The sequence below is a fragment of the Homo sapiens genome, chromosome 22, assembly GCF_000001405.40.
Source record: "Homo sapiens chromosome 22, GRCh38.p14 Primary Assembly".
Classification (NCBI taxonomy): Eukaryota; Metazoa; Chordata; class Mammalia; order Primates; family Hominidae; genus Homo; species Homo sapiens.
In genome coordinates, this window is record NC_000022.11 from 18,733,310 (window position 1) to 18,758,390 (window position 25,081).

Genomic DNA, 25,081 nt, shown 5'->3' on the forward strand with positions numbered 1-25,081 from the left:
ATAATATATGTTATATTATATTCTTATATATTATAATATATAATATATTATAATATATATTATATTATATTCCTATATATTATAATATATGATATATTATAATATATATTATTATCTAATATAATATATTATATTATATTATATTATATATATTATATTATGTATAATATATAATTATGTATTATATTATATATAATTATATATAATTATATATATATTATATTATATTTTATTATTATATATATTCATATATATTATATTATATATAATACATATTATAGTATACGTAATATTATATATAATATAAGGATGCAGGATGTAAAAGGAAATTATATATATGTTATATATATAATATATATTATATTATATATAATTATATGTATATATATTTGTGGGTGCCCTATTTCCCATCTCATAACTTATTTTAAGAAGCCAGCATAATAATGTGTGGGCTTGGGATTCAGTTTTTGAAACAAAACACTGAGCCTTTGATGACCTTCCTGTACTTGTAAAAGCCCACCTGTCTGCATGGCAGCAGTTGGACCTCACAGTGTGGATTGTGCCTTCACCCTGGAATGTTTATGCCCTATCGCCATGGTGATGGGATTAGGGATCTCCTGCCCTTGGTCCTAAGTGCCACTATCTGTGCTGAGTTTTTCAAAGGTCAGAGCAGATTGAACCATTGTGGTTTCATTTTCCCTGATTTTGATTTTTCTTATGGGGAACCTGTGTGGCTGCATTCAAGGTATGTTCATACTGGCCTGTCAAATGCGATCTTTTCAAATTACTAGTTAATGCTTTCAAAATATGTTATTTAAAAAATTAGCCTCTGTATTTTCCATATGCAGTTATAAATATGTTTCATGATTATGTTTTATTCCTCAATTTATATATTTGATTATTGTACCAAGCAGAGTATCTTTGAAATTTTTCTTCATTTAAAAAATATGTATCTTGACTCAGGCCTGTAATCCCAGCACTTTGGGAGGCCAAGGCAAGAGGATCACAAGGTGAGGAGATCAAGACCATCCTGGCCATTACAGTGAAACCCTGTCTCTACTACAAATACAAAAAATTAGCCAGGCATGGTGGCAGCTGGTGTAGTCCCAGTGTGAATTGGGATTCAGTTTATTCAGTTTATTCCCAAATTCCAAATTATATATATATATATATAATTTCCTTTTACATCCTGCATCCTTCAACGTTCCATCCCCCACCCCACAGATTAAGTTATTCCCCAGGGGAGAATATGGCAAAGTCTATTTTAATGCAGTTTTTAACCCAATTAAGAACCTATGAAATCATTACTTTCCAAAACTTTGGAACAAAGCCACAGTAGTATGGATCCGTTGGAGGCTTTTCACACAATAAAATGTACATCTCTTTGTTTTTAACATGTTTTTCCCTTCCTCTCTTCTTTTTTTGTGAAATGTGTATTTACTTTAATATATTTGTAGTAAGTCACTTCCATGCACATATTAATTTTTTAAAGTAATAAGTATGTGTATTGTCTACGTGTGAAAGAAAACACACATTTATTTTTATGCCTTGGAAGTTATCCAGAATCATGGAATTGTCAATCACAGTCAATCACCCAACCTACTCACCTTTCCAGTGTAATCTTAGTCAAATTTTTTTTTTGTTATCCAATGAGATGCAGTATTTCAACTCAGAAAGATAAATAGAGTGAATTTATAGAGACTATTAACTAAGAACATACAGTTTTATTTATACTCAGAAGCAAGTAGATTATGTACATATATATGAAGATAAAAATTAAAAGGATAATTGTGTAAATTTGCATGTAGAGGGCTTTGAAAACCTGTTTACTTGTTAATGCTGTTTTGATGTATTGTGTCTTTGTTCTCCCGACCCATCGTCCAGAGCTCTCTGCAGGAGCTAAGTGCTCATCAGTTCCATGACTTGGAAACTGTCTAAGTTTAGAGGCACTTGTATTTGTTAGTAAATAAGGCAAGATGATATTGTTTCACAGGTTTTAGTGCCGAAGACTGAATAGATAAGCTGCTCCACCCAGTACACTGGTGTTCATTTCATGGTCATCTCATCTGTTAACCATGGATATAAAACATTTATCTTCAATGATGGGGTTTTACCATGTTGGTCAGGCTGGTCTCGAACTCCTGACCTCAAATGATCCACCCACCTCCACCTTCCAAACTGCTGGGATTACAGGTGTGAGCCACTATGCCTGACTGATTATTTTCATAACCAAGAAAAGAAATAAATACAATTAATGCTGGTGCATGGTATTAAATCTAGTTTTTAAAAAATTCACACATAAACAAGGCAGAACCCTATACCCTCCATGATAAATGCAGTAGCAGTGTATGTGGGTCTGTGGAGGTTGAAAGGGACTTGGTAGATGTCAAGAAGGTAGTGGCAGTCCTGCTGGGCTTTTAAAGGGTCTGAAGAAGTGACAGGATGCTGTGGTTGAATCCTAGCATGTATTTTAGCATTTGTTCATTTGGAGTTGATTATTTCACGTTGCTTTCATTTGCCATTACCTGGAAAGCCAAGGGCTCTACTCTCATTTCCTTGCTGCTCTTTCTTTGCCTTCCTTGGTCCGTGAAGAAGATGGTCCAGGAGAAGCTCATTCCATGCTTGTTAACCAGGCACGCCCCTAAGTTCCAGTCCCTGAGTCATTCATGAGTAGCACTGCCAATGAACTGACAGCCATGCTGTGTCCCTCCACATCCCCTAGGTGACTCGAAGAAGCCTTCCAAAAAGCGTGTGAAAAGGAAGCCCTACTCTACTACCAAGGTAAAGTAGCCTGTCTTTGCCTAAGATGTAAATGTTGTTTTCTTGGATCCTTTATTTTTCAGTTGATATCAGCTATGGGAAAATTCTCCACTACATTATAGGTGTTAGATAATATTTCCTTGGGGATGGAGGAGGTGTATTTTACCAACTGACACCTGATTCCAGAGGACGTGCAAAATTGGCAGTGTCAGATAGTACACTGGGTGTTAAGGGATGTTTTCTTCAGGAACAAGCTTTCCACTTTAGATAAGAATTCTGCAATTGCTACTCAAAAATTACCTAGACAGAAACATTCTTCAAGAAAAGCTCCTGTGCTTTCCTAAGGGAACTCTACTCTAGAGTTGGGGCTTTTGACTTGAACCTTATTTCCAGTCTTGGTTACCCAGAGTTTCCAAGTGAACAAAAGACCTGTGTGAGCCATCCATAGCATAGCCTGATTCTCAGAGTGTTTTCCTTCTCTAATTACAGGTGACTTCAGGGAGCACATTCAATGGTACGTATTCTGGAATCACTCACTGGTTGTTAGAAAAGGATTCTACAGGAAATCTGGAGCTTAACTGCTGGCTTTTGTCTGGAGAGCCTCCATGATCCAAGACATCTGGTGGGAATGAGGATGTAGGGTATAGTAAAAGAAACTGGTTTTCCTGGTGACATACTCTTTTTATCTATGTATAGTTTCTGGGAACATGTTCACATTAGGTTGTGTGTGGGTATGTGTGTATTAGGGCGGGGGTGGGGTGAGGTGGTCTGTGTGCAAGTCTGCATGATTTGCTTGTGAATGTGTGTCTATGTGTGTTTCCCCTAGGAAAAAAATGTTGTGTTTACCCAGCACAACTCTCAGTGCCATGTTTCTTAATTTAACAAATCAGACCACATACTTTACTTACATTAGTTCACACCTCATCATCATCATGCCCATATGTTGTGAGCTTGTTTATTGAGCCCACATGCCAGATGGAGAAACTAAGCCACATAAATAAATGTGCCCTGGTTCACTTGCTGCATAGTGAAGAGTCAAAATGTTTACTCAAACGGTGCTAATGTTGAAGGCCTGAACTACAACCTCTATTTATCAGCCAGTGAAGAGATCACTATTCACCATGCAAGGGAGTTCCAGCACCCTCTATGCCTGGAATTACCCACGCCTGCAGAGATCCCAAACGCCATCCCTCACATAAGACAGCCTCATGATCTCATAATCCAGGTAGCTATGTAGACATCTTCCTGCAGGTGTCACATAGTCCTTAGTGTGAAACCAACATAGAAAGCCCATGTTTCTGATCAAATCACAGGTTCTGAAACACTAAGGGAGGCACTAAGTAGGACAACGTGGTGCCTGCGTGTCATAGCTGGGTCTCCTCAAGACATGGATCAAGTCCAGTAAGAATTGGGGAGATGCTTTAGAGTCTTGATGGAGTTATCACCACAAGCCCTCTGAGCTACACACTTTAGGGATCATGACCATTAAGTACTCAAATTACCATTTGGTTGTTATCCGGGTATCCGTCGTCCTTGTGGCAACCCTCTTGTGAAGCTGGTGTGGACAGCCTCAGTGCTGGAGCTGTGCCTGCCTTCTGAGTGGACCCTTTCTGTGTTAGCAGGTGGGTACAAGCGTGGGGGTCAGCACACTCAGTGGATTTACACACACAGCGTTGAAGAGTAAGGCTGGGCTTCGTTATTTATACATTTTCAATAAATGATGATCTTCATAACATAAAATCAATGATGTAGTACACTAGAATACTGTCCCTAGTATTGAATCTTGTCTCTCAGCAAAGGGTTGCTTAAAGTCACGTGACAGATTCCATTCAACTGATGACACATGCTGTAGCAGCAGTTAAAGCAGTCATTTGAAAAGGCTTTTACTATAAACTTATGTGTGAGCCTGAAGTGGGGGATAAAAGAGGTGATTAGCTCCCCTGTGCCATGTTTCTGTTATGTGCGTGGTGGAGGAAAATTACACAGGAAGGTGATGGAGAGAACAGAGCAAAGGATTGGACAGGTCCATTGAACCCATAAGACTATGGTGAGGTTAGTGAATGAGACTGGTCATTTTAGGTCAAATTTTACCCAGAGCTGGTACAGCCACTGCCGATTCTTAGCCAGACCTTATTGCAGGCAGCTCTGATCAATAGTCAAGGAGGCAGTGGGGGTTGCAGACTTTATTCATTAAATCACCAAAGCACCAGCCCACACGGCCACTTTTCCAGTTAATTCACAGTAGCTTGCATATTCAGGTTTGATCAGTGGAAGGGAAGTTACTCTTTGCAGACTCATTTTTGACAATCATTTTGCGGTGTCAGAAGGTCTGAGCAGCCTCGGGAGGCAAGCAGTCCCTGGTCCCTCAGTGTAGTCACTGGAGGAGACAGTCACTGAGAGGCAGCTGGCAGGGTGAAGGGAAAGGGGAGGCAGGCCACAGAGATGACAGTCTTTAAGCTGTCATACTGGTGAGGTCAAGGATCTGAAAGAGGAAGGAGAATTCTTTATCATTAAGGACCTGTCCTTATCTCAGGCATTTCCTCCAGAGCATCACCTTTGTCCACCCACACACCTTGGGCTAGGAGGACTGGAGAAAGACAGTGAGGGGTCTCTTGGGTCTCTGGCACAGGGCGTGATGAAGAGGTGGCAGTTTTTCAGGAATCTCTCTCTCTAGGGAACCAAATACATTTCCCATCTCAGGTCCTTCACTCAGCGGGGTTGAGGTTCTGCTCGTCACTTATCATCTCTGAATGTCAGCACCCTCAAGTGTAAAATCTCAGCCACAGCCCCTCCTCTGCACCCCCTGCAGGGCTGATGTTCTCCATAAACCATAAGGCGTCATGCCCACGGAAAAGCCGAACAGGAAAGCATGCTCCACTGCCCCGGAGCCATCCAAGTTCCCCCTCCATATTCCGCCACTGCTAAGTGTCCAGCTTATTCCTCCTGGCCTGTAGTAAACACTTAGAGAACATTACTGAAGTACCAGTCCTCTCTAAGGTTTTCCTGTATTTAGTGATTTTTTAGCCCTGTACTGTGATACTAAGAAGTAGGGCCTAAATAGGGCCTAAAAAGTATTGCTAAAATTACATTATGACAGTGCAGAGAACTGAGGGCAGAGGGAAGACATGAGCTTGCCAGGTCCACATGGCTTAGTGGAATTTGAATCCGGGCCCCCACTCTGCACCAGCCCTGCACTCACAGTCATCCGGCTGTGTTCCCCTCTCCAGGAAGGCACTGCCCACGCAGTCTGTCTGATAGAGGTGTTGAGTGCTCACTGAACTCCGTGATCTTCCTGAAACCCAACTTTGATTCAGTGGGCTCTGCTTGGAAGCCTGTAAAGAAAAGGATCATAAGTTTAAACTTAGAACAGATTATCACTATTTTCCCTCTGGCCTTCTGTCAGCAAGATGTCAACAGCCCTATCTATTGTCAATGCATTAACCAGCGTCTTCTCTGATAGAGAATACAAGAAGATATGCTGTGCACACCAACCAGTGTAGGAGACCTCATGGCTCCCGGGTAAAGAAGAAGAGGTACCCACAAGAAGGTACTGTGGAAGTTCATTAATTAAGTTGATTCAAGAATTGCAGTTGCGGGGAGTATTCAGTGTCCCATATGTAAGAGGAAACTATGAAGAGACTAAGCCATATTTTTTAATGTGTCAGGATTCTAATTTGCCTGGTCAGTAAATATTGCTACCACCACAAAAGTAAATATCTACTTAAAAGTCAATTTTGGTTCATGTTTAATGATAGACAATGTTTCAAGCTAATGTCTAGAACTTACCTGGTTGTTAAACAAAAGCATAGATCTCCCTGAAAGAGTGGTGCTATATTATTACTTTTCAATTAATATATTTCTTTAGAGAATTTTAAATTGACATAAAAACTGAGCATATGGCCGGGTGTGGTGGCTCACACTTATAATCCCAGCACTTTAGGAGGCCAAGGCAGGCGGATCATCTGAGGTCAGGAGTTGGAGACCAGCCTGGCCAACATGGTGAAACCCCATCTCTACTAAAAATACAAAAAAATTAGCCGGGTGTGGTGGCAGGCGCCTGTAATCCCAGCTACTCAGGAGGCTGAGGCAGGAGAATCGCTTGAACCCAGGAGGCAGAGGTTGCAGTGAGCCAAGATCATGCCATTGCACTCCAGCCTGGGTGACGAGTGAAACTCCATCTCAAAATAAATAAATAAATAAATAAATAAAAATTGACTATATAATACACGAAGTTCCCATATTATTCTGACTCCTCACCCTCACTTCCTAATTTCACCTATTAGTAACATCTTACATTACTGTGGTACATTTGCTAGAATAATGAGAACATATTGATACATTATTATCTGAAGTCTACATTTGCATAATGTTCATTCTTTCTGTTATACATATATATGAATTTTGAAATATTTAAAACATTATGTTCACCCTTATGGTCTCATAAAGAAAATGTTCACTTCCCTAAAAATCCTCTCTTCTCATTAATCTCTGTCCTCTTTCTCCAGAAACCTTGGCAACTATTAATATTTTTACTATCGCTTCAGCTTTGCCTTTTCCAGAATGTCATATAGTTGGAATCATATATTATGTAGTTTTTTCAGATGAATTTATTGCACTAAATTGATGTATGCTTTAGCTGCTTTCATGTCTTTTTTATGCCTTAATGGCAAAAAATGGCACATTAAATCACCAAATAATATTGCATTAAATGAATTTTTGTCTTTTTATTCACCTGTTGAAGAATTCGGTAGATTTCATGAGAGAAACCATCTGGGCCTGGTGCTTTCTTTTTCGGAATGCTCTTAATGTGAATTCAACTTATTTAATAGACATAAGTTTATTCAAATTAGGATTCTAGCGTGACCTTGGGAAGATTGCCTTTCAAGGAATTGATACATTTCACTGAGGTTATCAGACTGCGGTCATAGAACTGTTCATAATATTCCTTTTAATGCCTAACAGTTCAGTAGAGATGGCTCCTCTTTTATTTCTGAAATTGGTCATTTGTGTTATCTTCTTTTTCTTGGTTAGCCTGCATATCAATTCATTCATTGTAATGAGCATATCAAAGAACCAGCTTTTGGTTTTATTGATTTTCTGATGATTTCAGTGTTTTAATTTTATTGATTTCTGTGATGTTGTTTATTACTTTTACTTGCTTTCCATTGCATTCCTCTATTTTCTATAGTTCCCTAATTGAAACATGATATTACTGATTTTAGGTCTTGTGATTTTTAGTATATTGCATCCAATGCTGTAGATTTCCCTCTAAGGACTGCTTTTGCTACATCCAGAAATCTTGCCAAGTGACATTTTCTTTTAATGTAGTTAAAAGTATTTTTAATTTTCTATTGAGACTTCTTCTTTTACCCATGAGTTATTTAAAAGTGCATTGCTAATTTGCAAATATTTGGGGATTTTGTGGCTCTTTTACAGTTGTTGATTTTTTGTTGTCAGGTGTGTGTTGCAAAAGCAGTCGTCTACCTCATCTTGCCACCACCCAAGATGGCCCAGGATGTGGGCTCTCCCTGAGTGAATCTTTGGCAATCTGCCAACCTGATGTGTTCGGCCTCCTTCTTTAGTCTGAGCTTGCCTTCTGCTTAGAAAGGGCCATTCTCAGTTCTGGCAGGGAGTTTTCCCAACATTGAGAAGGTGGCATTCTTACTCCCCACTGCAGCCTGCACCTCTGACCGGTGGTCAGCAGACAGGACAGAGGTCCTCATTAGACAGAGTTCAGCAGGGTCTCTGACCAAAGTGCATCTTCAGAGTCTGCACCTACCCACTGTGACCACGGGCAGGCTCTGAGTCCTAAAGCAGGAGGAACTGTGCGACCATCCTGATTGGAAATTTGTGAGGATCACCGTGTTACTCAAGTAAGGTCTTTGGAAAGTGTCGTATTACTACTGTTTGTGAACTGCTTGTTGGTGGCCTGGCTGAGCCACACACTTTATGAAAACCAGGACCCCTCAGCTGGTGTGGGTGTCTATGCAGCCTGAGACCCTCATGTGAACAGCCTCGTGGCAGCTGTCTTTGCCCCTTGCCACCATCAGTGCCTCCTTGTTCCTGGGCACTGCTTTCTCTGATGGTGCTCCATTGTTTTCCTGCACCTCAGTGTCTACAGCTGGATGTCTCTTCCACAGTCTAGGCGAGGGGGCATCAATGGCAGTTCTGCTGTGGCACTGCCCTCCTTCTTAGCTTGTCTTGCTCTGTCTTAGGCTCCCTCAAAGATCCCACCCTTCGGGTTCTTCCACAAGTTTCTTATTGAAATCCGAGCAGAAAACTATGACCAATATGACCAATCCTATACCCACTGAAGACATGAATGAAGAATTAAAACAATTCTCCATGGACTCTACCATATAGATCCCTAGAAGTAATTTCTAAAAAAAAAAAAAATCAAGGAAGATGTAATAGTTTTCCATAAATTAGAATACCCTACATGTACAATTAAATGAAATGGCTAGTATAGTCTTGAAACCAAATCCAGATAAGGTAAATTAAATTCTGTGATATTTTAAAATACTTTAAATTCTGACTAATGTGAGTTAATCTCAACATATGAAATAGTAGATTAACATTGAAAATGCAATAAATAAAATTAGCTACCTCAAGAGTTTAATGGAAAAAAATGTGATTATTGCAATAGATTCAGGAAATTCATGAATAACATTCACCCTATATTTGTAGGACAACTATCTGATTAACTTTAAGTGACCTGTGACAACCACTTGAATTAATGCTGCTTTCACAGCATATCTCTTGGCTTGTTAAAAACCCGACAAGAATTTCCGTAACATTATTTTTAACACCTATATTGGGTGTGAACCCACCATAAAGTTTGCCCACTGAAAAGGTCTAGAATTTGATGCTTTATTAAATTGATACTGTGTGCACCCAACACCACGATCTAATTTAAATATGTTTCCCTCACCCAAGTTCTCTCTTGCGCACTGGCAGTTAATCCCCACTCCCATCTCCAGCCCTAAGCAATACTGCTGTGACATTCCATCTCCATAAATTTCCCACTTGCTTTATAGAAATGGACATATATATATATTTGGAATCTGACTTCCCTCATTTAGCATACTATGTTTGAAGTTAATTGACGTGTTAGCACGTGCTGGTCATGTGTTTTCCTTCATAGTCTGCTGTGTTTATTCATACAGATAGTGTTTATTCATTTATCAGTTAATGGACATTTAATTGTTTTGTTATTTTCTTTGATGAGTAATGTAGCTTTGTGCATTCATATACAGTCATGTAATGCATAATGACATTTTGGTCAAAAAAAATTTTTTTTTTTCTGAGACCCAGGCTGGAGTGCAGTGGCACAATCTCGGCTCACTGGAACCTCCATCTCCCAGGTTTAAGCAATTCTCATGCCTCAACCTCCCGAGTAGCTGGGACAACTGGCACACACCACCACGCCTGGATAATTTTTGTATTTTCAGTAGAGACAGGATTTTGCTGTGTTGGTCAGGCTAGTCTCAAACTCCTAGCCTCAGGTGATCCACCCACCTCTGCCTCCCAAAGTGCTGGGATTATAGGCATGAGCCACCACACCCAGCCTAATTTTTTTAAGAAAGAAGGGAACTATTTTCTAAATTACTTTTGCCAATTTATATTCCTACCATGATGCATAGCACTAATTTCACCGTACAATGTATGGTAGGCCCCAATATGTAAGAAATGATGAAAGTAACACATAAAGATTAGTATAAGACAAATGAGATTATCGTTGTTGCTATCATCTTTGTCAAATTCTGAAAACAATCTGAGTATATTTTTATATAAATATGCTTGGCAACATAGCTGAAAAAAGCATTATCAGTTACATTTATCAGTAACAAAGACATAAATTTGAAGGGGGAAAAACACTTGTACTAACAATGCAATGTCAGAATTAACATAAAAATTCTGCTGGTCACTTTGGAATATTTAATTGCCTGGGGCAGTGTTTAGTAGACACATGAGCATCTATGGAGCACCCAAAGTAGGGGAATCAACAGAACTTGGGTTTCAAAAGTTATCTGGGTTTAGAGCGTGAAACTTTGTTAGAGGACACACACCTTGCATGAGTGAGGTGCCTTGGTGTGTGTGGACGTATCATTATGCTTGGAGGTACAGCATAATGGTGGCTTCCTCCAGAAAGGGACATTTGGGGTAGATTCATGCCATCTAGACAACACAGCCTGATGTGGCATGGACATGAATGGAGGTGAAATGGTCAGTAGTTGAGAGGATCAGTCCTGACAAGGGCCGAGGTGAAAAACCTGGGAACCCCTTCAGGTGCAAAGTCTTCAGTTGAAAAAGGAGGTGGTCACAGGAAATACTGAGATGGGTCAGCAATGCATGGGAGACAGAGTTCTTGGCCCTGCAGGGTGAGTAGTGTGGATTCTCAAGTTTTCTCCTCTCTCCATTAATTTCTTTCCCAATGCAGATGACTTCCATCATACAGTCTTCAGCAACCTTGAAAGATTGGACAAGCTTCAGCCCACTCTTGAAGGTAAAGGAAGGCAGCTAACAAGACTGGCATCTGGGCTTGGCTGTGCATGTTTTCTATCGTGGGGAAATATATATAACACATTATTTATCATTTGAACCTTTTAACCAAAGTGTGCACTCCGTGGCATTCAATATATTCACAGGGTTGCATAACCAACACCACTATCTACACCCACAATTTTGATGATTTCTTACAAAACCTTGTCCACAATAAGCAATATAGCGCCTTCCCCCTATTTCCAGCCCATGGTGATTCCTATCCCACTCTCTCGTATGAATTTGACTATTCTAGGCACTTCATGTAATTACAATTATACAATATATTCCTTTTGTGTCTGGCTTATTTCACTAAGCATAATGTTCTCAATGTCCACCCATGTTGTATCATCTATCAAAATGATGTTCATTTTTTACAGATGGATGATGTAGCATTGCATGCAGACCACCTTGCTTTTATTACATTCATTTGTTCACTGATGGTTGGATTATTTCCACCTTTTGGCTCCTGTGAAAAGTGATGCTACAAACATTAGTATACAAACATCTGTTTGATTTCTGTTCTCTATTCTTTGGGGTGCCTAGGAGTAGAGTTCCTGGGTCCAACAGGGGTTCTATATTTAACCTTCTGAGCCACTGCAGACTGTTTTTCACAGTGGCTGCAACTTTATCCATTTCTACCATCAATGTATCAGGGTTACAATTTCTTTACATCCTTGTTCACACTTATTTTCCTTTAAATCATCCTAGTAGGTGTATATTGGTGGCTGCTTGTGTTTTTCATTTGCATTTCCCTAATGACTAATGATCCTGAGCAGCTTTTCCTGTGCTACTATTTGTGGCTATATCTTCTTTAGGGAAATATATGTTGAAGTCTTTTGCCCATTTTTAAAGAGTTGTCTGATTTTTATTTAGTTAGTTTGTTGCTGTAGATTTTTGAATATATCTTAAATATATTTAAAAATATTCTAAATTTTAGTCTCTTACAAGATAAATGATTTGCAAATATTTCCCCCTTTGTGTAGAACTTTAGATTCACAAACTTCATTAATTTGTATGAAATCCTCAGCAGTTGACCCCAAACAGATAAGACTGAAGCAGTATTTTAGGAATAGTTGAAAGTATGATCACCACAAAACATAAGCGTAATCAAATCCTGCAAGCTACATGTAAGGCACAATGACAAATAAGGCAGCAAAGGGCCATCTGGTGATTAGTTCACCACACTTGTTGCAACTGTTTGCGCTGCAGAGTTAAAACATACCAGCATTCAACCCATGTCTCCTGTCTTGAAGTAAACTGTCGTATGTTGGCTGGCCTGAACAAGCGTAGATATTCTCCATCCTCAGTTAATATGCATGCATGACAAAGAAAAGGAGGCCTGGATGAAAAAATATTGTGTGATTAATAATTATGCTTTAATTAATTTTAAAGGATATAATTTCAGTACTTCTAATTCTCCCATCAGCAGTTATAACAAAGGATTAGTGAATAAATACCATAGACTGTTTTGCCTAGAATTGAATCCAATCTGTCTATTAAACTTTGCTTTTATTCAAGTGCAAAATGCTAAAACACATAATAACTGCAGTGACAGCCACTGTGGATCCTCAGAGGTAAAAGTAGTCTTGGGACATAAATCCTGCAAGTAATATTGTTTTTACAGGTTTAGAAAACCATTTAGCTGGGTTTCAAACCTCACAGTGTGAGCAGTGGGACTCTCATCAAACTATAGCATGTGCTTCAGTACCATTTGTAGACTGACTCATTCCCATTGCCTTAAGTTGCCATCAGCAAAATGCCAGGGACTCTATTTCTTGCTCCTTAGCTCCTCGTTCTTGCCTGTCTTTCCACGAGGGAGGATTTTCTAGCAGGAGCTCAAGCTGTGCTTTTAATGAAACACATCCACACACACTGTCCTGTTGTCCACATTAAGCAGAGCTCCCTGAATAGCTCATGAACAAAAGCATCTATGACTAACTGTTGCTCTGTGTCCTCCTAGCCTCTGAGGAGTCTCTAGTTCACAAGGACAGAGGAGATGGAGAGAGGCCAGTCAACGTGAGGGTAAGGTTGCCTTGCTTTCTCTGAAATAGAAATGTTCCTTTCTTGTTGTCTTTCTTTTTCAACTGACTTTACATGTGAAAAGATGACAATGTCCATGACAGGTATTAAATGCAGTTTTCTGAGGGGGAGGAAGAAGTGACTCTTAGCAACTGATATGTAATCCAAAATGGCATTTAGCTATGATGGCTTCAGGTTGTAGACTGTATCCTTGGGGTCCTTGTCCTTGGAAGCAATGTCTTCTCCTTGGATTCAGTATTTTGCACTTGCCAACCTACGTGGACCTGAGAGATCCGCCATCCAGAAGCTGATGTCTTTTCCAGTGTGTATCCTACCCTTGTTTTGGAGGCCTTGAAGTTGACTACACTTTCTGATCAAGTTTTCAATATTCATTGAGAGAAACACAGCCTTGTGCAAACAATCCACAACATGACATACCCCTCAAAAAGCTTTGTTTCTGTATTGCAGGTGGTGCAGGTGGCCCCTCTGAGGCGTGAATCTAGTAAGTATTCTGGAATCACTTACCAAGAAAACAATCTGGATGCCAAGAAAGGTGTGGCATCCTTGCCTGGTTTCAATGTGAAGAGCCACCCTGATCCTGGGATTGTGATAGGAATAAGTATAGGGGAAGTGTTTTTTTAAAACCTGAATTCCCCAGGGAAAAATTATGGCCAAATTTTGAGGAAGCAGCTGTGCTCCCTTTTGGGTGGTGCTGAGTTGGGTGCTTGAGGATTGGTGGTGTCTTGTGTGAGGCTGCATCGTGTGGTGTGAATGTGTGTGTTTCTGTACAGGTGAGGCTGTGTGTTTTCTCAGGAGAGATTTCCCACTTATACAACCCAATCACCAGTGTCCACTTCTAACAATAAAATCCACCCCCGCTCTACTCTCTCTGTACAGTGACTCCTCCACCCTCACCAGAGCCATCCCCGGGTCTGCCTTATTATCCCCACTGCTCAGGTGGAGAACCTGAAGGGCCAAGGGAGTGGCCCCAGCTCCCGAGTTCCTGAATGAAACAGTGAAAACACGAACCCAGGAGTGTGGGCCAGTGCTGACGCTGACATGCACTTAGTCATGGGGTGTTCACCACCACACAGGGAGTCCAGCATTCATGTATAAACCCTAAGGCACCGAGCCCAAAAGGCCCCAGGCACTGCCCATCATCATAAAGTGGCCTCCGTGGTCACACAACCCAGGGCAGTTATAGGTTCATCTCCCCACGGACAGGCATAGTCATCAGTGTGTCAAAAGCACAAAGATCCCCAGGTGTTTGGCTCAGCTCACCGATCCTTTTTTTTTTTTTTAACTTTTCAGTTCAGGGGTACATGTGCAGGATGTGCAGGTTTGCTACATATATAAATGTGTGTCATGAGAGTTTGTTGTACAGATTATTGCATCACCCATATATTGAGCCTAATATCAGTTATTTTTCCTGATCCACCCTCTCCTCCCACCTCCCACCCTCCAGTAGGCCCCACGCTCACAAATTCTAAGAGGAGTGGGGGACCACAAAGGCCAGTGTGGCCCACTTCAGTTGTGAAGTTAATTTGCTCAGCAACTGGCCAAAGTCTATAAGGATGGGTGATGTATTTTAGTAGATTTAGTAATACTATCTTCCCAAGCCCTAAAATGCTCAAATCCTGCCAGCCAAAAATGGTGAGGAGGGACAGATAGGAACTCTGTGTGGCACTTGGTTATTAGCCTGGCTTCCATCCCTTAGTGGCAACTCTCTTGTATATGTGGGTTAAAGACCCTCAGCCTCAAGCCAAGCCTCCTCCATGAGGAGCCATCTCACTATTGACCGGCTAGTGCCGGGTATGGCCACCAGCCCAACTGAAACAAAATGTTGCTTTAAAACAAGTGTAAATCTCGTACATACAACAGGCAAATGCAGAAGCAGTGTGGTCTCGCAAGTTGTAAAGAGGACAGTCGCAATTTTGCTGGACTTCAACCTGGGTAGAAGACACGAGGGAACTCTGTCACTAAATCACGGCAGAGTTCAAGGCCGCTTGTAGACTATTTCGTGTTATAGAAGGTGGCCTTTAGCTACTAGGCAAAGGCCTCTGTTTCTCATTTCTTTCCTGTTCATCTCCTTGGTCATCCTTCTTCCGCAAGGGAAACGAGCCCAAGCAAAAGGCAGTTTCAATATTAATTTGACCGAGGTTTTGTGCAGTTAATTATCATCCAGGTAATCAGGTGCAACCCAGTCTGCCTAGCAGCCCCCCTATCTCTGCTCTGTGTTTTCATTTAATAAACATTTTGGTCTACTTACTATGTGCTAGATTTTCTCGAGACCAAGTAAATGAGATAGAATCTTTATGTTGGCAGCTAAGTTAGATTTCACATAACTGACAAAAATTAAAATTTCTGATTTCTTGTAAAAATATTTTGTATGTGTGAATGCATACTGAATGTAAAGTGGATAAAAAACTCACACTTGCACTCATGGAAGGCTTTTCATGAATTTGTCAATTTTTATTTTTTATATTTCCCCACTTCACTGGATAATGCATACCTGAACCTGGAAACTGATGCCCACTGCAGAAAGTGTTCTGAGCCACATCCCTTAGCTTCACTAGTGCAGGTCCACCTGGGAGGATGTCCCAGCATCAGCTTGGCCCATGCTGTGATCAGCCACCTCCATGCACCACACCAAGCAAGCCCCTGGGTGATTCACAGTCTCCACTACCAGGGCACTGACCTTAACTCTGTGTTCTTCTAGCTCCCCATGAGGACACCGTACACAACATCACTAACGAGGATGCCTCACACGATATCACTAACGAGGACGCTGTCCACGGCATCGCTAACGAGGCCGCCGCCCAGGGCATCGCCAACGAGGACGCCGCCCAGGGCATCGCCAACGAGGACGCCGCCCACGGAATCGCCAGCGAGGACGCCGCCCAGGGCATCGCCAACGAGGTCGCCGCCCAGGGCATCGCCAACGAGGACGCCGCCCAGGGCATCGCCAACGAGGACGCCGTCCATGGCATCGCCAACGAGGACGCTGCCCACGGCATTGCTAACGAGGATGCCGTGCACGGCATCGCTAATGAGGACTCCGTATACGACATCGCTAATGAGGATGCCATATATGACATCGCTAATGACACCGTACAAGGCACGCTAACGAGGATGCTGTACACGACATCGCTAATGAGGACACCATACAAGGCATCGGTAATGAGGACGTTGTATATGACATCGCTAACAAGGACACTCTACAAGCCGTCGCTAACAAGGACACTGTACACAACATCGCTAATGACGGCACCGTACAAGACATCACCAATGAGGGCGCTTTATACGACATTGCTAATGATACCGACAAGGCACGCTAACGCGGACACTGTACACGACATCGCTAATGAGGACTCCGTATACGACATCGCTAATGAGGGTGCCGTATATGACATCGCTAATGACACCGTACAAGGCACGCTAACGAGGACGCTGTACACGACATCGCTAATGAGGACACCATACAAGGCATCGGTAATGAGGACGCTGTATACGACATCGCTAACGAGGACACCATACAAGCCGTCGCTAACAAGGACACTGTACACAACATCGCTAATGACGGCACCGTACAAGACATCACCAATGAGGGCGCTTTATACGACATTGCTAATGATACCGACAAGGCACGCTAACGTGGACGCTGTACACGACATTGCTAATGAGGACACCGTATAAGACATCGCTAGTAACTATCGCAAGAACAAAAAACCAAACACCGCATATTCTCACTCATAGGTGGGAATTGAACAATGAGATCACATGGACACAGGAAGGGGAATATCACATTCTGGGGACTGTTGTGGGGTGGGGGGAGGGGGGAGGGATAGCATCGGGAGATATACCTAATGCTAGATGATGAGTTAGTGGGTGCAGCGCACCAGCGTGGCACATGTATACATATGTAACTAACCTGCACAATGTGCACATGTACCCTAAAACTTAAAGTATATATAAAAAAAAAGACATCGCTAGTGAGCACGCTGTATACGACATCGCTAATGAGGACACCATACAAGGCATCGCTAACGATGACGCTGTACACAACATCACTAATGATGACACCGTATAAGACATCGCTAATTATGACGCTGTATACGACATCGCTAATGACACCGTACGAGGCACGCTAACAAGGATGCTGTACACAACGTCGCTAATGAGGACAGTGTACAAGCCATCGCTAATGAGGACACTGTATATGACATTGCTAACGAGGACACTGTACAAGGCATTGCTAACGAGGACGCTGTACACAACATCGCTAATGAGGACACCATATAAGACATCACCAATGAGGATGCTGTATATGACATCGCTAATGACACCCACAAGGCATGCTAACGAGGACGCTGTAGACGACATTGCTTATAAGGACACCGTACAAGACATCACTAACGAGGACGCTGTATACGACATCGCTAATGAGGACGTTGTATATGACATCGCTAATGAGGATGCTTTACAAGACATAGCGAATGAGGTTGCTGTATATGACATCGCTAATGAGGACATTGTATATGACATCGCTAATGAGGACGCTCTATACGACATCACTAATGAGGACGCTGTATACAACATCGCTAATGAGGACGCTGTATATGGCATCGCTAATGAGGATGCTGTATACGAATTCGCTAATAAGGACGCTGTATATGACATTGCTAATGAGGACACTGTACAAGACATCTGTAAAAAAGAAGATGCTGCCAATGTAAGACACTTTTCTTTGTCTTGAACAGAAATGTTACTTTCCTGGCTTCTTTCCAATCAGATGTAGACATGAACATCTGCCAGTGTGCATTATCGATGTCATCTGCAGTTTAATCAAATGTAGACATGAACATCTGCCAATGTGGACTATTTATGACATCTGCAATTCCCTTGGTGTGGTGCTATTGATTGGCGGCCTCTCACCAACCCATGCCAGGCACACTGGGGTGTGGTAGATGGCAGCATCCACGATCCACTGCAATGCAGAGGTGTTTCCCTCCACAGCAGTTTTCCCCCATGGATTAAGAGTTGTGAAACTGCCAATCTAGATACACTTTAAAGATAAATTCTGTGGGAAAAGGTCTTGTCTTTTCCACAGGTGTCTTCCGTGCCAGTTTTGGGGGACTTCATATTTTCTCTCTCAAGTTGTCGAGAGACTATCAGATCTGTGTGACGTGTATGGCATCATTTCACCCTCCTAATGTTTTCTTTTCTATAATTGCAGGAGCCATTGACACTGGAGAATGATACCTACCCTGAAATAACTCACTTCCTGAGAAAAAAGCGCCATCTCTAGGGTACAGAAACCTGATTCTGGGCTCCTTTTGGGAAGGAGGATTTGGGGTCTGGTGAGAGCAAATGATTTTGCAAGTATAAAACCATGTCCAGAGAGGCTGTAGGGATATCTGTGAGCCCAGAGGAAACACCAGGGGATCCTGTGCGAAGCACCATGGCTTCAGCTAGGGTGGGAGGAGTGGGTGGGCCTCTCTCTAATGACTTATCCTGGTGTTTGTGTTTCTAAAGATTTGATTGTGGAGAGCATATCTGATGATGGGGATTTGTAGGTAGGTAACTACTTTCCACGTAAGATCCAATTGGAGAGAGTTCCCAGGGGCCTTCGGGGTATCCATGCTGCTTGGGAGGTTAAGGGAGGGGGCATGAAATCAAAACAAAACAGGAAATATGTGTCATATTGGACTTGGTCTTTTCCGGGTTTATTGGCATAATAGTTAGAACTGTCTCTCTGGGCTATGAGGGTGCTGTGTTATTTAAAGGTGGTCTTTCCCAGAACACCTGGCCTTTTCTTTTCTGCCTCTGCCAAACATCACAGCCTTTGGGTTGGATTAGTCAGCACCCCTTGGGATTGTGCAGAAGAGGTTTGGGGTTGCATCGAGTGTCACCTGTGGTGAACAGAATCTGAGGGACACAACTCTCTCACAGGCACTTCCTCCAACCTGGAGACAGAATTCTCCTGGTGTGTGCCCAGGGGTGGAGGAGAAATTGACAGTCTGCCTCTGAACTTTCAGGACTTTAAAAAGCACTCATGTTTCCATCCTCACTGTTGACTCCTGGCTTAAAGGGATCTCCCGGGGTGAGTGAGGAGGCGGGATCGGACCCTAGCAGTCTGACGGCAGCACCTGTGTTCCTCTGCACTGGGCCGTGGATGACATTACACACCTTGGTGAGAATCAGGAATTGAGGCTAACCACATCTGAAATTGAGATGGGCCTTGAGTCATATAAATAGTTTGGAAAAGATGCATTTTACTACGCTATTGAAAGAAACCATTTATTTCTCACTCCAGCAGGATAAATGGTTTTCAGTATCCATTTAACTGCTCATTGACTCTTACTGTAGATGAGGAGGTGGCCAGCAGCCCCTGCCCTCCCCCAGTTGGTAGGCCCAAGGTAACCAGCAATTGACTGGATATAATGGAAGAGTGGTGCATTCGGAGGTATCTGTATTAATGGGACCCACATGATATGGATGAGAGCTATTAGGGTGAGAAAAAGCCTGGGAGCACAATGAAATATTTAAATATTAAACAAAACATTGTTGAAATCTCCATTGTACTTTAGTAGTTGAAGTCATTCTTGTGGTCATCACTGCCTTTCCCAAGCATAACAAGCTACTTAATATCACATGGACCCGTGCCATGAGGAATGATGATCAGTTTGTAAAATGCCAATAAAACAATTGCCTATATAAGCCACAATGTTTCATCCATATATTTCAATTTCCATGTATAAGTATAGTTCAAATTTCAGAAATTTATTATTATCTAATAGAATATGCATGGTATATCAATGAGCAATTATCATACTGTTTCTATTAACAATTATTTGTATGATGAAAAAAGCAGACTCCCATTCTTGGATTTTTCTCAGTTTGCACACATTAGCATGACAGCCCCATTTCCACCTGACATGTGCCAGCAAGAGGCCAGGAACAGAGGCTTTTCTTATTAACTAAGATTTCTAAATGTATTACGTATTCACATTTAGAAACTCTAAATATCATAAAAGGTTAGCAAGGAAGTTTCCCTTCCACTCTGAACTTCCAAACACCAAGTCAACATTTTTGTTTGCATATCATCCCTGCAATCTATGTGCAAATAGAAGCATGCACCTGGAATGCAGGCTGATGTGTGATCGTGTTTACACAAAGTCCTCTGCACCTCTGCATATATCACTGGGCAATGCACCTTAGTTATCATTCCACATTTCAAATGTAAATCCATTGTATTGTTTCAGAGCTATAAAGTACTGCACCCCATGACTATTCCCAAAATTACTTAAGCACCCCGCTATGGGTATCCATTTGTTCTGTTTCCAGTCTTGCTCTTATAACCAATGCTGTAGTGAACAGCACTGTGTTGAGAAGTGGTGAACGTGGGCATCTTTGTCTTGTTCCCTTCCTCAGGGGGAATGCTTTCAACTCTCCCCCATTCAGGAAAATGTTGGCTGTGGGTTTGTCATAGATAGCTTTTATTACCTTAAGGTATGTCCGTTCTATGCTGATTTTGACGAACGGTTTTAATCATAAAGAAATGCTGGATTTTGTCAAAGGCTTTTTCTGCATCTATTCAGATTATCATGTGATTTTTGTTTTTAGTTTTATTGATGTGATGTATCACATTTATTGACTTGCGTATGTTAAACCATCCCTGCATCCCTAGTATGAAACCCACTTGAATCATGGTGGATTATCTTTTTGATATGCTGTTGGATTCAGTTAGCTTGGTTGTAGCATTTCTTATTATTCCATCTGTGGAATGTATTGGTTGAAATAATGAAAACATGTTCTATCCTCACTGCTTAGCACTTTGTGTTTCTTTAATAGCCTTCCCAACAGGGCAACATAAAAGCAGGAGCCCTGCTAGTCTCCCCTTAACCCGGAATCCCCCCTTCTCCACAGCTCGCTCATTGGACAGGATAGACTGGGCGCCCAGGCTTCAAGGTAAGGACATGCTCTGTCACCTAGAGGTGCAGTGCTTGGGAAGGCCAACCTTGGAGGGTTGCCTGCCAGCTTTACAGTGACAGAGGTGTTGAGAGGGACTGACCACCAGTGCAGAAGGCTGTGCTTTGTTGGTGACATAAAGGATTGTTTCACAGATTGTTGGGGAGGGACAATCCCAAGGCCTCCCCTGGCCCTGGTGCTGGCTCTGCACAAAGGCAATAAGAGAGGGATGCTGGTAAGGGCTGACCTGTTGCTGTGCTGGGGAGGAAGGTGCTGGGCTGAAATTCAGGAGGCTGAGGATGCAGCAGTCCCATAGGAGGTACATGACCTTCAGGATACATTTTCTTCATTGATGATCAATGGAAATGAGAAATCACTGACTATTTTTTCTATCATTGGAATCTACTCTCCACTGCTCATGCTGTTCCTGTCTTTTGGGGAAGATGGAGGATCAATCAGTGTGCGCTGCCCTGAGTGGAAGGAAGGAGAACTGTGACAAAAATTAAGGAAGGATGAGAGACGGGAGGGCCCTTCATCCAGCTGCTTGCAGAGTCCTCCTGAGGAGGAAAGCCCCGTGGCTCCCTGGCGAAGGAGCAGTGAGGGCTGCGTGACTCCCACAGTGAAGTGTGTGGTATGTCTGAGGACACCCAGGCTGGTGGTCCATGAGGAGCCAGTGGCAGAGTGAGAAGCAGAAAGGCCAGGAGGGTGGCTGGAGGCCAGGCTCTGAGTCATTCTCCATGTGATGGAAACAGCCGGAGCCCAGTGGGCTTGGAGGTACAGGATGCGGTGGCTGATGACAGAACAATGTGGAGAGAGGTGTCATTTGTCAAATCCTTACTTTGTTCTGGGCATTGTGCTAAAAATTCTGATGGCTCATCCCATTTAGGGGCTGAAAGTTGCAGAGGTTTAGGAAGCTCACCCACGATACTGGAGCCCCCATCTCCTGCCCTAGTGCTGTCCACCTTCTCACCCAGCCACCACCTGTTTCGGGGGAACACACAGAAGTGGTAACCTCTTATGGAGAGGCAAGTAAATTCTGCTGTTTTTGTTATTCACAGAAAAACACTGGCTCGTGTGGGTTGGGAAGGTGAAATACCAGAAGTATTTCATCTGGTTATTTCTACCCATGCGACTCCTATAGTATTGAAATGCATAGGTTAGCATTTTTGGCCAATTTACTCAGCATTCTGGGTTAAAGGCTTTTATTTATTTTATTTATTTATTTATTTACTTTTGAGATGGAGTTTCACTCTTGTTGCCCAAGCTGGAGGGCAATGGTGCGATCCTGGTTCATTGCAACCTCCGCCTCCCAGGTTCAAACTATTCTCCTGTCTCAGCCTCCCAAGTAGCTGAGATTATAGGCACATGCCACCACACTGGGCTAATTTTTTTGTATTTTTAGTAGAAATGAGATTTCACCATGTTGGTCAGGCTGGTTTCGAACTCCTGACCTCAGGTGATCTGCCCTCCTCGGCCTCTTAAAGTGCTGGGATTACAGGCGTGAGCCACCACGCCTGCCCTAAAGTCTTTTAAAATTCACTTGTATAAGTTGACTTAGTTTTCTTTAACCTTGTAGAAAAATACAAAAATGGCAATCTCTTTTATCACACAAATAATGTCTTTTTAATGGAGTGATTTTTTTTCTAATTGAGGTATTATGTACTTTTCATTTACTAATTATTGTTTACATTTGAAGTGTTTTATGAATTAATATTTAATTGCATAGATGAAGATTACTAGTTATAGGCATTTTACTAACCAATACTCATTAAGCATAGCGTGGATTCATATGACATCAAGGAGCTATTTTATTTGGTAAAACGAAAAAGCACAAGAATGAACGAACGCAAGAACTGAAACAGTGGAGACACCTAGAATGACTTGTCTAAGATCTAAATCATTTTGTTGTCTTCCCAGCGTACTTATTATCCTGATCATTGTCATCAGCATTGTTTGGGTCCTTTTAGCACAGATTTCTCAAAATGGGTAACTCCATAACAGTTGGAAGCTTACGAATTCATATAATTTGTAAGAGGTCAATTTGGAAGTACCTATCTATTTTAAAATTCCAATAACCTGGGAATTTCATCCCATGTCTAGAGTCTTTTATGTAAAATATTTCCACAATTAGGAGAAATATGTGCATGGGGATTTTCTATGTAGCGGTGTTTTGATAGAATAGAAAATTGGGATAAACCAAATTTCCATCACGAAGGAAATAGTAATATGCTGAATAATAATACAGCGAATATTATGCAGGCTTTAAACATCAAAAAAGAGTTCAACTTCTGACTTCCGATGATGGTGTTGAAGCAGGTCACTGCTGGTTTACATTTGATTTTCATGTGGGAACTCTGGAAGTCCGCCTTAGTGATTTTACATGTGGCTAAATTGAGCTAATGACAAGCTGTTCGAAGTATGGCAAAATGGAACTTTAAAACAGTATCTTGTCAACAACCAAGAGGACCTGTTTCACATAAAGCCCACGCATTCATCTGCCTGTCCATCATTCTGTCTGTCCACACGGGCATCATTCGTTAGTGGAACTGAGTGCCCGCTGTCGAGCTGACAAGCCCATAACCTCCCTGTTCCTAGTCACACATTAATTCTTCAACAAGTCCCTTTTGATAGATTGTGATTAAGCTTAGCTACTATTTCCAATTGCTTCCCCAAACGTACTTCTCACTGTTCTCCCATCACACCCTTCAGCCCATCCATGCGGGGTTCCTTTGCTTTTCCCACCTTACACCAAACTCCCTATTTTTACTCCCACTTTTACCTCCTCTCCAAGACAAAACAAACAAAACTAGCATTTTAAAACTTAGTTGTAATCTTTCTTCCTTCATGAAAATTTCTCCAACAGCCACTCCCACGGTCCTGTGTGTTCCGGATATTTTAAAATAATGGCTATAAGGCTGAGCACTTCAGGATATGCTGTTTTGCTGTGTGCAGATGGAGGCAGTGGCTGGAGTGAATGAACGGCAACACTTGCTGGCAACCGGCAGAAGCTGAGAGACAGGGAACAGGCTCTCCTCCAGAGCCTCCAGGAGCCAGGCCTTTGGACACCTTGAATGTGGGCTTCTGGGAGACCATGCGTTTCTGTTATAAGCAGCCCAGTCTCTGGCAGTTTTTACGGCTGCCCCGGAACACTCATCTATACCTGTCTGACAAGGTCAAGCTCCAAGGAAGGGATTCTTTACATATCTACATTGTTTGCAGATTTTACAATAATCATTTATTCTTGCATGGCTGATCATTGTTAACCAATACAAATAAAATAATAAAGAAATGACCCACATTTTATGTTGGGAGTTTGATCTGCCATTTATCAAGTATGGAATCTTGAACAAGGGGTTAAACATCTGAATGTCTCCATCACTTCATCTCTAAAGTGGGGGTGCTCACACCCACTGGGCTCCCCCGCCCAGGTTGGTGCCGGACTCTCCCTGGGCCCCCCTGTTCTCTCACCAGCCACATCCATTCTCCCCCCAGAGGCGCTAGTGACTGTGCGTGGCTTTCCATTCCCACCACGTTTGTCTCTAACCCCAGTGGCAGATCAGTGTAAGAACACAGCTGAGTGCTCCTCGCCTCCTTGCCCCTTCAAGGGCTCCTCACCACCCACCAGATCAGGTGCAAACTTCCAAGCCTTACTGGATCCCTTTCCACATTCTGAGCTCCGCCTGCCTTCCCATCGCTATCCTTCCCCACCTGCCTCCCTGGTAGAGAAAAGCAGAGTGTGTGATGCTGTCTGAATGCTGAGCACGGCCTTTTGCAGCCAGTCCACTGT

General features: G+C 42.2%; 1 long non-coding RNA gene across 2 annotated transcripts, besides 1 other annotated feature; it reads left to right on the forward strand.

The window, feature by feature from the left end:
- Positions 322 to 823: an enhancer, noted in NCBI's record as "OCT4 hESC enhancer chr22:18721144-18721645 (GRCh37/hg19 assembly coordinates)". NCBI's record gives its function as "activates a minimal SCP1, AML or CMV promoter by ChIP-STARR-seq in primed H9 embryonic stem cells {active_cell/tissue: H9 hESC(primed)}" and the evidence as "EXISTENCE:reporter gene assay evidence [ECO:0000049][PMID:30033119]".
- On the forward strand, positions 626 to 24,596 carry FAM230E (family with sequence similarity 230 member E). 2 transcript variants are annotated; one of them, NR_165635.1, is made up of 12 exons: positions 626 to 745; positions 2,723 to 2,781; positions 3,250 to 3,274; positions 6,221 to 6,307; positions 11,201 to 11,266; positions 13,265 to 13,326; positions 13,792 to 13,825; positions 16,043 to 18,055; positions 18,560 to 18,632; positions 18,859 to 18,899; positions 19,362 to 19,516; positions 24,158 to 24,596. It is a non-coding gene; the product is annotated as a family with sequence similarity 230 member E (long non-coding RNA). The 2 variants fall into 2 exon arrangements; NR_136561.2 differs by lacking the exon at positions 16,043 to 18,055 and having other exon boundaries at positions 18,560 to 19,516.
- Positions 24,597 to 25,081: the final 485 nt, after the last annotated feature.